The sequence below is a fragment of the Homo sapiens genome, chromosome 6 (assembly GCF_000001405.40).
Source record: "Homo sapiens chromosome 6, GRCh38.p14 Primary Assembly".
NCBI lineage: Eukaryota > Metazoa > Chordata > Mammalia > Primates > Hominidae > Homo > Homo sapiens.
In genome coordinates, this window is record NC_000006.12 from 54,718,571 (window position 1) to 54,740,809 (window position 22,239).

General features: G+C 36.4%; 1 long non-coding RNA gene across 1 annotated transcript in view, besides 1 other annotated feature; it reads right to left on the bottom strand.

Annotated features, from left to right (window-relative positions):
- The window catches only part of LOC107986606 (uncharacterized), a 179,493-nt gene that overhangs the window by 96,232 nt on the left and 61,022 nt on the right, over positions 1–22,239 (bottom strand). The gene's annotated exons all lie outside the window — the stretch shown is intronic.
- Positions 17,897–18,398: an enhancer, noted in NCBI's record as "H3K4me1 hESC enhancer chr6:54601265-54601766 (GRCh37/hg19 assembly coordinates)". NCBI's record gives its function as "activates a minimal SCP1, AML or CMV promoter by ChIP-STARR-seq in naive H9 embryonic stem cells {active_cell/tissue: H9 hESC(naive)}" and the evidence as "EXISTENCE:reporter gene assay evidence [ECO:0000049][PMID:30033119]".

Genomic DNA, 22,239 nt, shown 5'->3' on the forward strand with positions numbered 1-22,239 from the left:
AGATTCCCAACTGACTAGAAGAAGCCTGGGCAGTTTAACGGGCTTATTGAGAACACAATGGGATAATTGTTTAATAAGCCTTACCACTGGGCAATCAAAAGCTGTCAGTTAACTTAGCTTTCATAGATAATATTGAAATCTAGTTCTCTAAAACTCTCTAAACATTAACTAAGATAAGCAACCTGTTTTAATATAATGTAGTCTCTAAGAGGCCGGGCCATGGGAAAACGATCAGACTTTCCCAGGTCTTACACATCCAGGCAAAATATAGCAAAGAGAACAGAGCAGCGGAGGGGGTTGGCTCTTAAATTCATATCCACTACTATATACTCAACGCTTAATTGCAGTCATAGTGATTCATAAGCACTTTAATTGTAAGGGTTAAGTTACAGCAAACAAACACAGACGGTGGTAGCTGAAGACACACATTGGTTTGTTCCTTCACATGAAGACTAGCTTGTTCCTTCTACACAGGTTGAATGAAGAAGAAAGGTGCACAGAGATAAACAACAATAGGTTAATAAAATACAATCCATTTTGAAGGTAACTAGATTCTCTCTCTCTCTTTTTCTCTGTTCTTCATTTTTCCTGCCTCTTTTTTCCATTCCATGCTTGTCAGGAGGATAACCTCAAATATTCAATTTATAGGAGAGTGTGTTTTTAAATATCACAGGGAAATCCATATTTGTTTTGGCTGACACTCAATAGCTAATTAGTCTTAAACAATCTGGTAAGAGCTTGAACAGAGACCATCTGTCCTTGAAATTCCCTCTGTGGCTTTTCCAAAAGACCCAGCTTTTCCAAAAGACCCAGCTTTTCCAAAAAACTTTGGACAAATTTACAGTAGTTTTAGACTCCAAGACATGGAGCCAAATGCTTTCTTTTTTTTTCCTATTTGCATTGAACTGTGCTAAAAATTGTATCTGATTTATACCATTCAATATGATAAAATAATGATAGCTGGCATTTATTGATGACTTCCTATATGTTAAACCTTTATTCTCAGCTCTTCATTTAAGTTATCTCATTTAATATTCACAAAACCCTGATATTATGTTTATTTTTACAGTTGACAAAATTGAGACAGAAACAGTTGAGTAAATAGTAGACTAAATACAGTATGTGGCAGCAGTTTGTATTTCTATTAAGTTAGACAAAGCACAATCAGAATGGAGGGTTTAAGCTCTGATTGATTTGTAGTGAACACATGCTTTACTTGGGGAAATAAAAAAGCTTGATTCCCTGGAGAGACAGCGTTCACATAAACAGACACTCTGACCTCACAGCATGTAGAAGACTATGCTAATCCTCTGAAATGTAAAGAAGTGGCTTTGATGTTTTTTATGATTCACAACTAAAAATTAAAACAATTTTCATCATGACAAAAGTCACACAAATACACACATGTTCCTAAATATTTTCATTTAATGATATTCTTACTGCATATAATAAAAACTGACATTTCTTGTTATGCTATTTTTTGTGTGGTAGAGACTCATAAATTGATTCCTTGAACCACCAATGGGTTATAACCTGCATGTTGAGAAAAAAGCTGGTTTGTAAAACAAAACAATAAAGAATATCAAAATCCAAATAGATGAAGAGTCGCCTTACACTTTACCACACTATTTGACATCTTCTACGTATGATTAAATAAAGAAAATCCTCTATAATAATATTTCTTAGCTGGATATGAATTTTCCTGTGGAAATGTAAAAATGTGATCATGTGTTCCTTTTGGTAATGGGCAGCACAAAACTATGAAAGCCTGGCTGCTGGTGCTAAAAAATAGACACAAAAGGCACAGAGCATCCAAACATTAGAATGGCAAGAGAGACAGAATAATCAAATTAAAAAGAGAAGTGAGTTGGGGTAAAGGCCATCAAAAGGCACATGGGAATTTCAGACTTAGGTCAGCAGAAGCTTTGACAGCATGGACTAGTGGGAAGAAAGGAGAAGGCAGGGCTGGCCAGAAGGGTCAGTGGGTTGACGGCAAGATTATAGATAACATAGAAGAGCACAGATAATTTAGGATTGATTTTAATGAGTGTTCAGATCCAGAATCCAAGGGATCATGCTGATGGATCCCAGTAGAGAGACTTCAGACACTGGTGATGTTCAATGTTAGACAAACCATGGAATTGTGGCTCTGAGGTAATGGTTTTCAAACTGTAGAATATATGTGAATTGCATGATGTATTTGCTTAAAATTCAGATTCCTGAGTGTCACCCTCAAAAATTCTGAATATGTGGAAACCCAGGACTCTCCATTGTAACAAAAGTATAGCCATGCCTTGAGAAATAACCTCTTTAGTATTTGGAGAAGGATCTAAATGGAGCTGGGGAAATGGTGCCAGTGGATTCCTGTAGGGACTTGGCCGGTTCTGTCTTTGAAAAGACTAAAGTTTAGTGGGAACTCATGTTCAAGCCTTACCAGGCAGATGGGATGCTAGGCTTGAGTTGCAAAGTTGACCCTACAGAATGCTGCCTTGAAGGCCAAGAACAATCCTGCCTAATATAGGGGTCAGAACTGCCTCTGAAAATTGTTGTCTTGCTAGGTGATAGATATTGGTGGCTACATGGGCCAGAACCATAAGCAAACATAAATGAGTCTTCTGAAAACTAGTAAGAATGATTTTCTGAGGGCATAGAATGAAATTTAGAGAAAATTCTAGATGAGGTCAAAGGTGGAAATAGAAAAAAATTTGGCCTCTTTGGGGCCAGCAGGGAAAGGACATCAGATAGAACAAAGGTTCTCTAAGATAGGCGTAAGTTCCCTAATGAACTAATTCTGCCATGTCTCATGTGTATATGTTTTGTCTTTGTAAATTCTCATCTTGACATTACCAGTAATCACCATCAACAAGTATACATGAAATGCTTTGTTTTATTCTATTATTAGTAGTTAAAATTTAGCAAATGTCTTTGATTTCCCTTAACCACAAAGCTCTTATAAGGTTACTGGTTGATAACATGGAATTTGGAATGACCCTTAACTTTAAATTCTCACTCATTCATTTTCAACTATTTGACCTTGAGCAGGTTACGTGGTCTGGACAGGTCTTAATTATTGAACATGTGAAATTAGATGAGATAAAAACATGTATTTCTCTTTTTATATATCATCTCTAATTCTCATAATAACATGGCAAAGTGAATTATTGATTCTATCCTTCAGGTGAAGAAATGGAGGCTTCATAGGTTAAGTAACTTGAAGCCATCGAGCTGGTAATAAGTTGACCCACAACATATTAACAGCAATATCTACCCCAAAGTTTAGCATTTTCTTACTAAGTCACACTTCTACCTTCACTGTCCTCTAATATGGCGACTTCACCTTTGTTTTATTTCTTGCCCTAGCATCTACATGATCTGAGATATCAGTAGAGGAAAATTTATCCTCATTCCTTTCACTAGTTGAGACAAAGTGAAGAGGGAGAAACTGCCTTCTCTTTCCCTCAAAACATGTATTTTATAAGAATGAGAATGGTTCAACAAAACCCACCTAATGGTTAACCATTTAAAGTTATTTCCATAAATTCAATAAAGCATCTCTTAAGTATGAAGGTATGGAGAATGTTGATACAATTAGAAAGAATCTCTGCAGGTAGATAAATTCCCAAAGGAGTCATAATATAAATTGCCACACCTATTCTACATGGGATTTGGGGGCATTACTATAAACAAGAACAACAACGACAACAACAAACTTTATCTGTTTTGTTGTTGGGAAGGCAGAATCAGGACTTTAAATCCAATCTTTGGAAGGTTTGCCTCCACCTGACCTGGGATACTTGAAGTTCAGAGCAACATGATATACTTAAGTGGGAATGTGGAATTCCACTCTTTGATTCATTTGAGCACAATATCGGAGCCAACATTTTCTTTTCTCTTTTCAAGTTCTTCTCTACATGACTGAACAAGTGATCTAGGTGTGGTTTTGATGATTATTTCTGGAGCTCGGAGCCAAGATAGAGAGAAACATAGCATTGCAGTTTGGCTTTCTTGCCTGTCTATAAAGGAATGCAGGAAAGGTGCCAATTTCATTGAGTTTAAGCCCAAGGACTCTTGCAAAACAACACTTTATAAATGTCTGCCTTTTAAAGAATATCATGTGTGGCCAGGTGCGGTGGCTCACACCTGTAATCCCAGCACTTTGGGAGGCCAAAGTGGGCAGATCATGAGGTCAGGAGTTTAAGACCAGCCTGACTAACATGGTGACACCCTGTCTCTACTAAAAATACAAAAATTATCCGGGAATAGTGGCATGCATCTGTAATCCCAACTACTCAGGAGGCTGAGACAGGAGAATCGCTTGAACCCGGGAGGTGGAAGTTGCAGTGAGCCGAGATCTCACCACTGCACTCCAGCCTGGGTGACAAGAGCAAGACTCAGTCTCAAAAAAAAAAAAAAAAAAAAAAAGAAAGAAAAAAAAAGAGCATTATTTGTAGAATATGCCATCATGTTAATGTCATAGTTTGATAAATTTAGGAAAACTAAACTTACTTTTTTCTGAAATGTTATGGAAATTTAGAATTGAATATTTTTAAAAGACAACATTTTCAGGTTAGTCATTTATTCTAAACCTAAGAAAATTATCCATTATTAAATGTTCTTATATTCTACGTATCTTGATGTTGAATTGAAATTGGGTAGATATTTTTATCACAGGATTCTCTGCACCCCTAATTGGAGGAATGGATATGTTTTATATGAGAATGACAGAGTGTCTTATTATTGCTTTTTTCATGGGTGAATGAAACCATAGCAGGGTACCAGTCCAGAATACATTTTTGCTTTCTCCCCTTTCCTCTCAGTTTAAAATTGAACTTGGGACATGAATAGAAAACAGCAACTACATTAAACTCTTTAAAAAGCTTTTTCACATCTCTTGAATCAAAATGCTGTTTTTCACAAGCCAAGTAGGATGATTGTGGCTGGCATTAAATCGATCTATTGAATGCTAAAGTTATTTTTCCATAACACAAACCCAGCGTGTATAGCTGTGGCTAAGCCTCCATCACCCTCCCCTACTGAGGAGCCTCAAACCAAATTCACAGGGAACCTCCTTTAGCAATTTCTGAGTTTTTATATTCACATAATTTTTAGACTTTCATCCTTGATCATCAGAAAGATATTTTTGTCAGTTATGGAAACTTGTGTTTTAAACATACAAAGAAAATGAACTACAGCATTTTGCCCAGACAACTGCTGACAGAACATCTGCTAAACAATAATACTTTTGATTCCCACTGACCTAAGTCAGAACATACATTGGCAACCTGCTTCAGACTTAAGATTTCCTAGCTATTTTAATAAAAGTCCATTAATCAATTCCAACCTGTTTCTCATAATAGAGAGTAACCTCAGGAGAAAATGATATGACACCGAACAAATAATTCCTATTTGTAAAATTGTTTAGACAAGTATTCACATGAGAGATTCTTGACCCAGAGGGATTTATATTATGTAGGTTCATTTCTTTAAGGGCAAATAATTACTTTTCAAGATAAGCATTAATAATAAAGATTTGCAAAGACATGTTTAGAGTTTTATCTTAAATGCATCAAGACCAGTCCTTCTCCTGTTGCATCAAATTATTCTTCTTTGACAGAACTTTTTACCTAGTTCTAAGGGAGCTTACTTGCTTTGTCCAGTTGCAACCCGGCAATTGCATATAAAATTGAAAATATGCTCTAAGGACACCATGTAAAAAAAATAGAAAACCCTTAACTCCATACGTTACTGTTAATAAACTGTAGGTTGTGGCCTTTTCATTAGCCAAAGTTTCTAGAGGGGATTTAAAAATAGTGTTATGTTTTTATATAATTTTTATTTTTTATTTTTATTTTATTTCATTTTTTAAATTTTTTCATACAATTTCATTGATGGAAATTCAAGATCTGAGTAGACTTGAGATTTTTGGAGTTAGGAATATATGTTCAAAATCTTTAGTTTGACAATGGGTCTCAATTTATTATTTATATGACCTTGGGTTGTCATATAACCTAAGTTTAATTTTTCTTTTCTGTCAAGTGCAATTTATAATAATTTTATTTACCTCAGAGTTATGACGGATAACCTATGATATAATGTTTCTAAAATATTTAGAAATGGCAAAGTTCTGAAAGTATTGGAAGGGTCAAACCCCTCACCTTAGACATGAGAAAAATAAAGCCCAGAAAAATTGGTAGGAAGGGCTAAGACTAAAACCTGAGACTCTTAATGAGATTGAGGAACCAGAAGAATATATGTTTCCAAATCTAGACTTTGAGTTTATTATAACCTATTGGATTTCATGCAATAAATAATGCACAGAATGCATCATATATTACTGACATACAATAGTCCCACAAAGAGTGACCAAGACCCTGAGAGACCTGCCGGGCTTGGATATGAGTGATATAAATCTGTGGCTTGTTTTTGAGTGATATTCCCAAACTGTGTATGAGAATGGCTACCCAACAAATTCCTTGAGGATGAAGAAACTGCAGATCCCTGGAAGTTCTCTCTAATGCAAGACTTATTGGAGAGCCAGCCAGTGAAAGAGAACTATTCAATATTATATCTGAGGCCAGTGGGGGAAGAAGGTTCCGTCATTGTGGAGTATATGGTTTTAAGCTCTTTGAAGTGAGAAAATTTGAAGAGGGGCCATGTTATTAAAATAAGTGGGCATTGTCAAATCAAGGATGGCTTTGGGTAGGAAGTTATAAAATTCAAGAGTGTTAATAAGAGATATAATGCTGTAATATGGGGGAGCACATGGACTTTGGAGTTAGTTCTGGGTTTGAACGTCAGCTTTGTGAATTTCACAAGTAATATAATTTCTTTCTGGGTCTTAGTTTTTATAAATAGAAACTGGAGATAATGTTATTTGTTTCTTAGGACTATTAGCAAAACAAAAGAGAAAATATTCGTGCAATCATTTGCATATACTAAGGTCTTTAATAAATGCTACTTCCCTTGAGATCTATTTATCTTCCTAATTATCTGTGTTTGTATATTCATTGGATTACTTCTATTCATCATCTTTTGTTCTTGGTTCCTTACAATGACCACAGGTTTATTGATAAATTAGGTTAAATTTTTTATTGTTCTATTTTAATGAATTTTATGTTACTTCTGCAATAATTATTGTTGATACATCATGATGTTATTTAGTAATTTTAGAGCAGTTTTAAAGTAAATGCGTTTTATTTTTCTTTGAAATTTTCCAAAATTTAAAATTAAAATGATTCTACTAATCAGTGAAAAAGAAAAGTAAGTAATAAAAGTACAAGGTATTTTCTATTTTATCTCATATTTTAGGTAATATTTTTCATGTTTTCTGAGTATCTATAACAACTATTTCTACCCAAGTGAGATTGTGCTACTAAGTGACCATATGGCATTTGAAAAGTACTTAGGTTTTTCATTGCCTCAGTTTTCTGGGTATCTATAACAACTATTTCTACCCAAGTGAGATTGTGCTACTAAGTGACCATGTGGCATTTGAAAAGTACTTAGGCTTTTCATTGCCTCAATTTCTTCAGCTGTAAAGTAAGGATAATAATTTTCCTACCTGCCTTCTAGGGTTGTTGACGATCAGATGAAATAATAGTTGTGAAAGTGTTTTAAACATCTTCATGTATTACACATTTAAGGAAAGTTTTTATGCTAAAGTGCCTCTATCTTTAGGAAATTCCACTCTCTTGCTTAATGTTTTGTAATTTATTAACAAGAGCAAAAATATCTCTATTGTGGTATTTTAATATCTTCTCTGAACGTCTTGAAGATTTTCACTACTTTTTTTAAACAATTTTTAATTTCTGTGAAAAATTTTAACACTACCAAAATGAGAGCCTTCTAGAATGAAAGATTATGATGCTAAGATTTCTACTTATTTTATCCTACTAATAGGAAGAATTAGTCTCTTAGAGATATTCACGATATGAACTAGTCTGTAAAAATTTTAAGTGAAATATGTTCAAAGTTACTCACTCAAATACAAGTGGCAAATATAAGGTGTAAAGAGTTGTGTTTCTGCATGATAACATCAAGGGAATGTAAAGTGCCAGTTATGGCAAGTGAAGAACTATAATTAAATTTCTCACTATGTTAAAAAATTATGTTAAAAACATGTTAAAAAAATACCTCTCCTTGTAAAGTTCGTGTAGATGGGAGTTTCTTCTAAGACTGTGGCTATCCAAACAACTCTAGTTCCCTACCATGTGCCCACTATCTTTAATCAGATGCTTATATAATGGAGTGCTATACTGGTATTAAGTCCAAAGTGATCATCAAGCCACTTCCTGATTATTTTCTTTCTCTTTTTACTTTCTTTGACACAATGAATTTCAACTCTAAGAGTTGTTTTATGTATTCATTCAGTAAATATCTACCATGTAACTACTATACAAGTATTTCTCAAGAAGTTTAACATTGAATAGAGAAGGTATATATAAAAAAGAAATAATGGATTATAAATATCACAAGAAAATTACAAAGTAATAAAGTAGGCTAGGGAAGTATACATAACCTTAATAATTTTACTGTGGGACTATATTAAGGGAGTATACTTAACCTCATAATTTTACTAAGAGGATCATAATCTAAACCACATGTATTTGATGAAAGACCTGACCTCTTTGTTGTTCAGAGTTGGTAGCATTTGCATTTGGCCTCATAGATGGATGAGACCTTGATAAGTAAAGATGAAGGAAAATTATTATAGATGTTTAGCAAAACACACATGAAGGTATAGAAAAAAAGAGGAGGATAGTGTTGTTTCTGCAATTAAAAAACAAAAACAAACAAACAAAAAACCCTCATCAAGTCTAGCCAGAGCACACACAGTAACATGGAGCAGGGTACAAGGACATACCTCTGGCCAGTTGAGTCTGTAATTGTAGAAGGTCTTGAATGTAAGCCAATCAGTTTGCCTATGAATTTGAATAAAATGGAGAGCCACTGAAATTGTTTAATCATAGTATTGAGATAACCAAACTATAGCATCTCCAAAGATTAGAGAGATTAATTTAACAGATGTTTACAGGCTTGGGCCTGCTTCCTATTTCCACAGTGGGAAGATATTAGGTAGGGTGAGCAGAAAACTCACAGATAATTTTACTATGAGGAGCAAAATCCAAACTGTATGTACGTGATGAAAGCCCTGAACTCCCTGTTGCTATATGGTGAAAGTGACTTGCTGACAGTGAACCCATAGCCTACTTGGACTCGAAGGCCATATACAAATTTTTGTCAGATGAATAACATGAAAAACAATTCAGCAGGAAATAAAAGCATTCCTTATTTTTAAAAACAGGGATTCTCAAAGAGAACAAAGTAGGAAAAGAGGCAAAGGACTGGTGATATTTATATAAATAAAAACCTTCATCTGTTATTTATGATACATCCCCACTTTCAACCCACTTTTGTTTAAGAATAATTGATGTACCACACATCTACAACCATCTGATCTTTGAGAAACCTGACAAAAACAAGAAATGGGGAAAGGATTCCCTATTTCATAAATGGTGCTGGGAAAACTGGCCAGCCATATGTAGAAAGCTGAAACTGGATCCCTTCCTTACACCTTATACAAAAATTAATTCAAGATGGATTAAAGACTTAAATGTTAGACCTAAAACCATAAAAACCCTAGAAGAAAACCTAGGCAATACCATTCAGGACATAGGCATGGGCAAGGACTTCATGTCTAAAACACCAAAAGCAATGGCAACCAAAGCCAAAATTGACAAATGGGATCTAATTAAACTAAAGAGCTTCTGCACAGCAAAAGAAACTACCATCAGAGTGAACAGGCAACCTACAGAATGGGAGAAAATTTTTACAATCTGCCCATCTGACAAAGGGCTAAGATCCAGAATCTACAAAGAACTTAAAACAAATTTACAAGAAAAAAATCAAACAACCCCCTCAAAATGTGGGCAAAGTATATGAACAGACACTTCTCAAAAGAAGACATTTATGCAGCCAACAGACACATGAAAAAATGCTCATCATCACTGGCCATCAGAGAAATGTAAATCAAAACCACGATGAGATACCATCTCATGCCAGTTAGAATGGCGATCATTAAAAAGTCAGGAAACAACAGGTGCTGGAGAGGATGTGGAGAAATAGAAACACTTTTACACTGTTGGTGGGAACTGTAAACTAGTTCAACCATTGTGGAAGACAGTGTGGCGATTCCTCAAGGATCTAGAACTAGAAATACCATTTGACCCAGCCATCCCATTACAGGGTATATACCCAAAGGATTATAAATCATGCTGCTATAAAGACACATGCACACATATGTTTATTGAGGCACTGTTCACAATAGCAAAGACTTTGAACCAACCCAAATGTCCATCAATGATGGACTGGATTAAGAAAATGTGGCACATATACACCATGGAATACTATGCAGCCATAATAAAGGATGAGTTCATGTCCTTTGTAGGGACATGGATGAAGCTGGAAACCATCATTCTCAGCAAACTATTGCAAGGACAGAAAACCAAACACCGCGTGTTCTCACTTATAGGTGGGAATTCAACAATGAGAACACTTGGACACAGGAAGGGGAACATCACACACTGGGGCCTGTCCTGGCTTCGGGGGTAGGGGTTAGGGATAGCATTAGGAGATATACCTAATGTAAATGAGGAGTTAATGGGTGCAGCACACCAACATGGCACATGTATACATATGTAACAAACCTGCACGTTGTGCACATGTACCCTAGAACTTAAAGTATAATAAAAAAGAAATAAAATAATAAAATTTTTCGAAAAGAAGAATTGATATAAAAGCAAATGCTCTCATAACAGAAAACTCAATGCAGTTCTAATCACAACACCAGAGAGATATATCAAAGTAGAAGAAAACAGTTTCCATAGAGGACAGATAAATATATGAGTGAAAGGGACTTTTAAAAATTGACAATCTTAGATAACGAAGGATTTTTTTAAAAAGGCATTTGCTTAACCTTACCAAATTATGAAGGATATGGATAACATGCCTAAAGATTTGTTCACTTGGCATACCAGAATCATTACATGGAGTGCTCTTCCAAAAGCTTATAATGGAAGGATCAGGGCAATTATTTCAAAGAGAGCTCTCTACACCCTCATAGTAATACAGACTGACAATATTAGGAGCCATGTGAAGGCTATTAAATAAATTTTATAGGTTACAGAACAACAATACACTACTAATCAAAGCGAAGATGTTTTTAGTAAGAGAGCCATAACCTTCTAATCTTTCTTGGAATCACTGTTAATAGAGGGAAGGGAAGAATGTATATCCTGTGAGAAGAAAAAGAACATAACAAGACAAGATGATTCTGTGCTTGTTGTGGCTTGTGCATTCTACTAGGTGGTTTCACAGAGTCATTTCATGTACTCCTCACAGTAACTGTTGCAGAGGTAAAATATGAAAATAAGTAACTTTTTCAAGTAAACACAAGATGAAGAAATAGATCTAAGATCTATAGATGTCAACGCTTTTTTTTCCTTTTACTATGCCGAAGTATTTATTCAATGACTACTCATTGAGCACCTACCAAGTGTGCCTTGCACTGAGAACACACTAGTGAACAGGTAACAATTTTCCTGACATTGTAGGGTTTATGTGTTAGACATAAGTAAATCTATAGTCAAATAGGAGTTAGGGTAAATTTCTGTGAAGAAATATAAAACTGCTGTGAAGAAAGCAGGGTGAAACAAACAGCAACAAGATAGAGGATGTGGTGGAGGTACTATGGTATGCAATCAAGGCTTCTGTGAGAAAGGGATGTTTCAGAGATCTGAGCAAAGTGAGGAAATGAGACACAGGACTCTGCCAAAAATTCATTCCAAGCAGAATGAACAGTAAGTGCAAAGGTAAGTGGGCAGAAATGAAGAGTGATCTTGATGTCTTCAAGAAACAAGAATGTGACTAGAGAAGAGCAAGCAAACTGGGTTTGTTAGCAGTCCAAGTTTTCTACAGCGTCAAAAAATAATTGAAGCCATGGGTTTAATTATCTATAAAAGGCGGGACTTGAATATTTAAAGGACATGCAAAGGAGGGTATGCTGGGAACAGAGATTGAAAGAAGTCAGAGATGTGGGAGTAAAACCAGCAGAGGATGAAGAAAGAACAATGGAGCATTTCGGGAAGAACAACAGGAGCAATCATTTTACATGCAGCTGAGAGGTAGGATGAAGACCAAAAGATGCCCACTGTGTTGCTCGACATGGAGATTCTGACTGTGGTGATTTGCCAGCAATTCAAAAGAGGAAGAATAGCCTTTTCAACAAACAGTGCTGGAACAATTGGGCAGCCATAGGAAAAAAAAAAACAAAAAACAAAAAAAACCTGACTGGACCTAAGGCTCACACCTTCTATAAAAATTAACTCAAAGTTAATCATAAACTTAAATATAGCACATAAAACTATAAAACTTATAGAAAAAACATAGAATATATTTGGGGTCTGGAGATAAGTAAAGAGTTCTTAGATGTTACACTAAAAGCCCAACTCATAAAAGAAAAAATTGACAGATTGGACCTCATCAAAATAAAAAATTTTGTTATTTCAAAGACCCCAGACTGGGTGCGGTGGCTCACACCTGTAATCCCAGCACTTCGAATCACACCTTCGATAAAAATTAACTCAAAGTTAATCATAAACTTAAATATAACACATAAAACTATAAAACTTGTAGAAAAAAGCATACAATAGAATATATTTGGGATCTGGAGATAAGCAAAGAGTTCTTAGATGTTACACTAAAAGTCCGACTCATAAAAGAAAAAATTGATAGATTGGGCCTCATAAAAATAAAAATTTTTGTCATTTGAAATACCCCAGGCTGGGAGCGGTGACTCACACCTGTAATCTTTCTTGGAATCACTGTTAATAGAGGCCGAGGCAGGTGGATTGCTTGAGGTCAGGAGTTCAAGAATAGCCTGATCAATATGGGAAAACCCCGTCTCTACAAAAAATACAAAAATTAGCTGGGCGTGGTGGTAGCACCTGTAATCCCAGCTACTCAGGAGGTTGAGGCAGGAGAATTGCTTGAAGCAAGGAGGCAGAGGATGCAGTAAGCCGAGACTGTGCCACTGCACTCCAGCCTGGGCAACAGGGCAAGACTCCATCTCCAAAAAAAAAAAAAAACAAACAAAAACAAAAAAAACAAAAGAAGCCAGGCATGGTGGCTTATGCCTGTAATCCCAGCACTTTGGGAGGGCAAGGTGGGTGGATCACCTGAGATCAGGAGTTCGAGACCAGCCTGGACAACATGGTGTAACCGCATCTCTACTAAAAATACAAAAATTAGCCAGGTGTGGTGGCACATACCTGTAATCCCAGCTACTTGGGAGGCTGAGACAGGAGAATCGATTGAACCCGGGAGGCGGAGGTTGCAGTGATCGGTGGTCATGCCACTGCACTCCAGCCTGTGCAAGAGGGAGACTCCATTGCCCTCGACCCACCCCCCCCGCCGCAAAAAGAAAGACCACATTCACAGGATGAAAACACAAACTAACTATACGCTGGAGAAAATATTTCTGAGTCATGTATCTAACAGAGTATACGTAGAGGATTCTTAAAACTCAAAAACTAAAAAAAAAAAAAAAAAGTTCAACTTTTTCTTTTTTCCAGAAAGAGCTAGAATGTAGTGGCACAATCTCAGCTCACTGCAGCCTGTCTCCTACCTCAGCTTCCCAAGTAGCTGGGGACTACAGGTGTGTACCACCACACCCAGCTAATTCTTTTCTGTATTTAATTTATTTTTTTTTGTAGAGATGGGTTTCCTCCATGCATCCCAGGCTGGTCTCAAACTCCTAGGCTCAGGCAACCTGCCCACCTCAGCCTCCCAAGGTGCTGGGATTACAAGCATTAGCCAGTGCATCTGGCCAACAGCTCAATTTAATAATGGACAAAACCTCATTTCACCAAGAAGGAGAGATGGATGGTAGATAAGGAGATAAGCACATGAAAATATATTAATTATTATTAGCCATCAGAAAAATACAAGTAAAATCCACAATGAGATGTCACTACACACCTATTGAAACAGCTAAATTTTTTTAAAATCTTACTTTGGTTCTTACCAGGTATTCAGTAAGCATCAAGTGTTTATTAGTATCAATATTTATTGACAGGTTTTTTTAAGATATAAACATGGTTATAAAAATGAATTTTGATATTTGTATACATTATATTTAGTATTATTTTTAAGTCAAACATTTAGTATAAACTGTCTTATTTGGCAAGTAACCACTACATAAATCACATTTTGTGAAAAGAAATGTAAAAGTGGCAATTTAGAAATGTTTTAAGATACTTAGAGCTTCATGTGAAATTATGTTTTAAACATTGTTTCCCTAGTTAAAAAGATGGGAAGCAAGCATTAAAACAAATCAATAGTCTAATATAATTAAGCTATTCAAGAATATTGTTTTTTTTTTTTTCATTTGCTAATGCCTCCTATACCATGTATACAAACTGTAGACAATTCTACCAGGGTATACTCAGTGATCCAACCTATGACAGAATGAAGAGTTCTGTTGTAATTTAAAAATGAAAACGTTTGATTATGTTGTGCCGAAATATCCTGTGATACTGTGTTACTATATATAGAAAGCACATCTGTATTAGTCTGTTCTTGCATTGCTATAAAGAACTACCTGAGACTGGGTAATTCATGAAGAAAAGAGTTTTTATGGACCAATAGTTCTGCAGACTGCACAGGAAACATGGCTGGAAGGGCCTCAGGAAACTTAAAATCATGGTGGAAGGTGAAGGGGAAGCAGGCATATCTTACATGGCCTGAGAAGGAGGAAGAGAGTGAAGGGAAAGGTGCTAAACACTTTTAAACCACCAGATCTCATGAGAAACAGCAAGAGGAAGGTCCACCCCCATGATCCAATCATGTCCCACCAGGCCCCTCTCCAACATTGGGGATTACAATTTGACATGAGATTTGGGTAGGGATTTGAAGTTTGCCATTACTATGCATACTTTTGTAAATGTATTCTATATATATCTTACTACACATACTTTTGTAAATTTATTCTATATGTATATTTCTCTAAACTAAATATAATAATTTTTGGAACAATGCTTTTGCATGCTTTTGAACTATATTTACAGTGATAAGACTGTATATATTGCATAAGACTCTTTTGTGAAAAAATTAACTTTGTAATTTATCTATTGTTGTAAATGTCACTAATTTCTAGCAATCTGCTAGATCTTTATTTCAATCGTCTCCTGTTTTTTTCTTTATTAGTCTAGCTAGTGGCCTACCAATATTATTTATTCTTTCAATGAAGCAATACCTGGTTTTGTTGAATCTTTTGTATAGTTTTTCACATCTCAATTTCATTCAGTTCAGCTCTAATTTTGGTTATTTTTTGTCTTCTGCTAGTTTTGGGGTTGGTTGGCTCTTGTTTTTCTCATTCTTCTAGGTGTGGTATTAGGTTGTTAATCTGAGATCTTTCTAACTTTTTGATGTGGGCATTTAGTGCTATACATTTCCCTCTTAATGCTGTCTTAGCTGTTTCCCAGAGATTCTGGTATGTTGTTTCTTTGCTCTTTTTTTTTTGAGATGGAGTCTTGCTCTGTCACCCAGGCTAGAGTGCAGTGGCGTGATCTCAGCTCACTGCAACCTCTGCTGCCTCCTGGGTTCAAGCGATTCTCCTGTCTCAGCCTCCTGAGTAGCTGAGATTACAGACACACACCACCATGCCCAACTAATTTTTGTATTTTTAGTAGAGATGGGGTTTCGCCATGTTGGTGAGGCTGGTCTCAAACTCCTAACCTCAGGTGATCTGCCTGCCTCAGCCTCCCAAAGTGCTGGGATTATAGGTGTGAGCCACTGCACCTGGCCTGTTCTTATTAGTTTCAAATAACTTTTTGATTTGTGCTTTAATTTCATTGTTTACCCAAGAGTCATTCAGAAGCAGGGTGTTTAATTTCCATGTAATTGTATTGTTTTGAGTGATTTTCTTGGCCTTAATTTCTACTTTTATTACATTGTGGTCCAAGAATGTCATTCATATAATTTTAGTATTTTGAATTTGCTGAGAAGTGTTTTATGGTTAATAGCATGTTCGATTTTAATGTATGTGCCCTGTGCAAATGAGAAGAATGTATATTCTGTTGTTTTTGGGTGGAGTTCTATAGATATTTGTTAGGACCATTTGGTCAAGTGTAGAGTTCAGTTCCAAAATATCTTTGTTTGTTTTCTACCTCAATGATTTGTCTAGAATGTTGTAGAATGTTGTAAAATGTTGAAGTCTCCTACTATTATTGTGTCGTTATCTAAATCTCTTCGAAAGTCTATAAAAACTTGCTTTATGAATCTGGGTGCTACTATGTCAGGTTCATATTTGTTTAGAATAGTTAACTCTTCTTGTTGAATTGAACTCTTTACCATTACATAATGTTCTTATTTGTCTTTTTTGATCATTGTTGGTTTAAAAATCTGTTTTGTCTGAAATAAGAATAGCAATCCTTGCTTTTTGTTTTTGTTTTGTTTCTTTGTTTGCTGGGTAGATTTTTCTCCATCTCTTTACTTTGAGCCTAAGGGTGTTATTGCATGTGAGATGAGTTTCTTGAAGACAGCATCTAGTTGTGTCTTCCTTCTTTATCCAATTTGCCACTTGTGCCTTTTAATTGGGGCATTTAACCTGTTTACATTCAATGTTAATATCAATATGTGTGGATTTGATTTTGTCATGGTAGTGTTGGCTGGTTGTATATAGACCTGATTGTATAGTTACTTTATAGCGTCAGTGGTCTATGTGATTGTGTTTTTGTAGTGACTGTTGACAGTCTTTTGTTTCCATATTTAGGACTCCCTTAAGGACCTCTTGTAAGGCAGGTCTGGTGGTAACAAATTCCTTTAGCATTCACTTGTCTGAAAAGGATCTTATTTCTCCTTTGCATATGAAGCTTAGTTTGGCTGGATATAAAATTATTGTTTGGAGTTTGTTTTTCTTTAAGGATGCCTAATATAAGGGGATAGAGATTATCCCCTAATCTCTTCTGGCTTGTAGGGTTTCTGTTGAAAGGTCCACTGTTAGCCTGATGGGGTTCCCTTGGTAGGTGACCTGCCCCTTCTCTCTTGCTGCCTTTAAAATTTTTTTTTTCATGTTGACCTTGTGAAATCTGATAACTGTGTGCTTGGGGATGGTCATCTTGTATAGTATCTTGCAGGGGTCTCTGCATTTCCTGAATTTGAATGTTGGTTTCTCCAGTGAGGTTGGGATAATTTTCATGGGTGATATCCTCAAATGTATTTTCCAAGTTGCTTACTTTTTCACCCTCTCTTTCAAGGACACCAGTGAGTTGCTGATTTGGTTTCTTTACATAATCCCATATTTCTTGGAGATTTTGGTTATTATTTTTCATTCTTTTTAAAATTTTTGTCTGATTGTGTTATTTTGGAGAGCCAGTTTTCAAGCTCTGAGATTCTTTCTTCAGCTTGGTGTATTTTGCTGTTAATATTTGTGATTGTGTTATGAAATTCTTGTAGTGAATTTGTTATCTCTATCAGGTCAGTTTCTTTCTTAAAATGGCCATTTTGTGTTTCAGCTCCTGTACCTTAGGTTCTTTAGTTTGGGTTTCAATTTTCTCCTCAATCTCAATGATTTTCATTCTTATCTATATTCTGAATTCTATGCCTGTTTTTTTTTTTTTTTTTTTTTCAGCCATTTCAGCCTGATTAAGAAGCATTGTTGGTTCTAGTGTGGGAACTAGTGTGGTTGTATATAGGTGAGAAGACACTCTGGCTTTTTAAGTTGCCAGAGATCTTGTGCTGGTTCTTTTTCATCTGTGTGGGCTGATATTCCTTTGGTATGCGTTTTGTTTTATGTTTTTTTGTTTTTTTGTTTTTTTGGCAGAGTCTTACTCTGTCGCCAGGCTGGAGTGTGGTGGCACCATGTTGGCTCACTGCAACCTCCGACTCCCTGGTTCAAGCGATTCTCCTGCTTCAGCTGCAGTTGGAAGACAGGCCATATCCTTGATGTATAGGCCTTGCAGTGGGAGGCACACCCCACTCCTCCATTGGCCTGAGAACACGGGAGTCTTACCTGTCTCAGTTATCTGAGAGTGAGGGGTCCTCCCTGCTTGGGCACCACCTGAGCCAGCAAGTCCCTCTTGACTAGGAGCTCTGGGGTGTGTGGGGTCACCTAATTGGCTGTCCGGGTGCTTTCCCGGGGACCATGGGGTTGCACCTGCCACAGAGCTCAGGCAGAAGAGGGAAAGCTGGGCTGGAATCAATAGCAGGTGTGGCCCCTCTGGCTATGGGAGGCGAAAGTGGGTGGAGCTGCCCACTGAATTCAGGCCGAAGAAGTACTGCTGGGCTGGACGTTCTTGCAGTAGCGGCCCACCCAGCTACCAGCATTGGGGGGTCGGTGCAGTTGCCTGACCTGCCATTCAAGTATTTCCCAGGACAACAGGGAGGCTGCACACACCAGCTGAGCTCAGGCAGAGGCGGGACTGCTGGGCCAGCTTCCGGCCCCAAGCCTTGTCTCGTGAGGGGGAGTGGAGGAATCTTACTGCTTCCAGGTACCCCAACCACAGCTTCTGTTAGGGCTATGGTGCTGATGCCAGTGTGTTCTGGGGTCCAAGACTTGTTGAGGTCCCCTTGGACTTGGGAGTTGCCTCTGTAAAATATCCGGTGGCTCTCTGCCTCTGTTTAGAAATGCATGGGGTTGGGGGGTTGGGGGATGGGTGCGTAGGCACAGGGAGTCTCCCATGCTCAGTCTTGCACTGGTCCCTGTGGAGAGCATGACTTCCCCTGGGGGCTCTCACTCACTCACCCTTTCTCGTGTCAGGCAGCTTCTCCTGGCTTCATGTTGATCCCAGAGAGGCAGCTGCCTAGCTTGGCTCCTCTCTGCGCCCCCTGGAGGCCTGGATGGATGCTGACATGGTTTCTTAGGTGATCAGCTTGGAAGGTTATTATTCAGTAGACCTTTTGGTTCCTCTCTGTGAGAATGGCACATATGAGCTGCTTCTAGTCTGCAATCTTGACTCAGTCTCCTAAATTTTAAATATAGCCCTAACTAATTATTTTTACTTTTCATGGCAGTAAGCAAGGCTACATAACTATGCAGAATTACTTGTGGGACAGGTCCCTAACATATACAAATTGGGGGTTTACAAATCTTCACATTTATGAGGTACTGTTTCAAAGTGAGTCAACCAATTAACAGCCCCACTAATGGCATTTGAGAGTTCCAATTTCTTCACATCCTCACCAAGATGGGTATTGTGAAACCACCTAATTTTTGCTAATCCAATGGATGTATACTGACATTTTATTATTGTTTTCATTTGTTTTTCTTATATTTTTATATATTAATATGTTGAGAAGAAAAAATATGATTAGCCATTCCATTACTGGCCAATCATATTTCCCCTTCTCTGAAATGCCTGTTCATATTTTTGCCTGTATTCTTATTGTGATATTTATCTTTTTTAAACTGAGTTTTTGGAGCTTTTTTATGTTTTCTAAATATGATTTTTATGTTAAATAAAAGATCATGGCTTATTTTTAGATGTTATGACATTTTTAATATGTAAAAATTTTTCTTAATTGTAATTTCAAATGTAACAATTTTTTAAAAATATGGTATATTTAATGTGCTTTGTTTAATAATTTTTTTGCTTCATTAAGGTCACAAGGATATATTTTTCAAGTTTTAAAATCTTGCTTTTTACATTTAAGTCTTTGATCCACATGGAATTGATTTGTTTTGGCATGATGTAATGTTCAAATCTAATTTTATATTTTTCTCTAGGATAACCTGCTTTCTTAATACCATTTTTTAAATAGCCCAACATTACTCAATTCTGACATCTATCAAACTCTCAAATATAAGAAGAGATTCTGCCATATCAGTTGAAATAGTATCATGCCACTGAGGATTTTGGTATCTCATTTCTGTATTCTGTATTGATTTCTTTCTTTTTTTTTTTTTGAGACAGAGTCTTGCTGTGTCACCCAGGCTGGAGTGCAGTGGCGCTATCTCACCTCACTGCAATGTCCACCACTCGGGTTAAGAGATTATCCTGCCTCAGCCTCCTGAGTAGCTGGGATTATAGGCACCCACCACCAAGACCAGCTAATTTTTGTATTTTTAGTAGAGACGGGGTATGACCATGTTGGTCAGGCCGGTCTCAAACTCCTGACCTCGTGATCTGCCCCCCTCGACCTCCCAAAGTGCTGGGATTACAGGCATGAGCCACTGCGCCTGGCTGTATTCTGTTTTCAATACCCACTACATTAATCACTGTAGTTTTATAATACGAAGTGATTATCTGATAGCTTAACTCCTGTTGTCTGTTTTATTTTGTTTTGTTTTTCCCAAACTGTCTGTTTTGGGCTCTTCCCTATGAATTTTACTATCAACTTGTTATAACCTCCCACTCCTATCCCCAAAATGCCTTATTGACATATTGATTTATTACTTATTTTATAGATGAATTTTGGAAGAAGTATAATATTACATTTTTCAATTCATTTACTCAATTTTTTGTAATCTTCAACATATTTCAATTTTTTGTATAAAAAGTCTGAAGCATTTTTATATATTTATTGTACAGTTTTTAAAGTATAATACTTTATATGCTATTATAAATGAAATTTTTCTACTATATTTTTAATTAAACTTTGATTTTGAAATAATTCCAGATTCATATGCAGTTATTACATGTAATCTAGACAAATCCATGTAAACTTTCCATGTGTTATAAAAGTAGATTCATAAGGTATGTAACTACTTGGAATTGGCTTTTTTTTTACTCAGCATAATTCTCTAGAAATTAATCTAGATTGTTGCAAATGTCAATAGTTTCTTTTTATTTTGGAGTAGTATTACATGATATGAATGAAGCAAAGTTTATTGAACAATTCACCTATTGAAGGACACATGGGTGGTCTCCAGTTTTTGGTTATTACAAGATGCTGTAAATATTTTCATATATGTTTGTGGGAACGCAAGTCTTCATTTCTTTAGAATAAATGCCCAGAAGTGCCATTACTGGATTGTATGGTATTTGTATGTTTAGTTTTTAGAGAAACTCCAAACTATTTTTCCACTATGGATGTGCCATTTTATATTCACACAAGAAATGTATGCGAGAGCTAGCTACTCTGCATCCCCAGTATTTTGTGCTGTCACTTTTAAAAAAAAAAAAAAAACAGTTTAGCAACTCTGGTTGATGTGTAATGATACTCATGTGGTTTTGATTTGCATGTTCCTAATAAATAATGATGTTAAACATCTTTCCATGTCTTTATTTGCCATCTGTATATCCTCTTCATCTCATGATATGGTTTGGCTGTGTCCTCACCCAAATTTCATATTGAATTGTAGCTCCTATAATCCCCACGTGTCATGGGCAGGACCTGGTAGGAGGTAATTGGATCATGGGTGTGGGTTTTTCCCATGTTGTTCTCCTGATAAGGAATAAGTCACATGAGAACTGGTGGTTTTATAAAAGGACAGTTCCCCTGCACACACTCTCTTGCCTGCCACCATGTAAGACATCCCTTTGCTTTTCCTTCATCTTCTGCCATGATTGTGAGGCCTCCCCAGCCATGTGGAACTGTGAGTCCATTAAACTTCTTTCCCTCATAAATTATCCAGTCTTGGGTATGTCTTTATTAGCAGCATGAGAACAGACTAATGCATCTCATTTGGCCATTTTCTAGTTGTATCATTTGTTTGTTACTGTTGAGTTTTGAGAGTTCTTTATATATTCTAGATAGTCATCTTCTGTTGGATATGTTGTTTGAAAATATTTTCTCCTAGTCTGCAGCTTATCTTTGTCTTCATAATGAGGCCTTTCACAGAGCAAGAGTTTTTAATTTTAATGAAATCCAATGTATTTTTTTTTCTTTTACGGCTCACACTTTTAGTGTCATATTTAAGAACTCTTTGCCAAGCTCTAGATTTCAAAGAATTTCTTCTGTTTTTTCTAAACATTTTATAGTTTCATGTTTTACATTTAAGTGAATGGTCCATTTCAAGTTAGTTTTTGTAGGTGTGATGTTATTATAGACCAAGTTGTAATTTTTTGTCTATGGTTGGTCTATTTTGTTTTAGTTTTTGTGAAGGGTATGTGTGGGTCTAGATTCATTTTTTTTTGCATGTGGATATACAGTTTTTCTACCACCATTTCTCCAAAAGCCTACCTTTGCGCCATTGAATTGCTTTTGCTCCTTTAACAAAGATCGGTTGACTATGTTTAT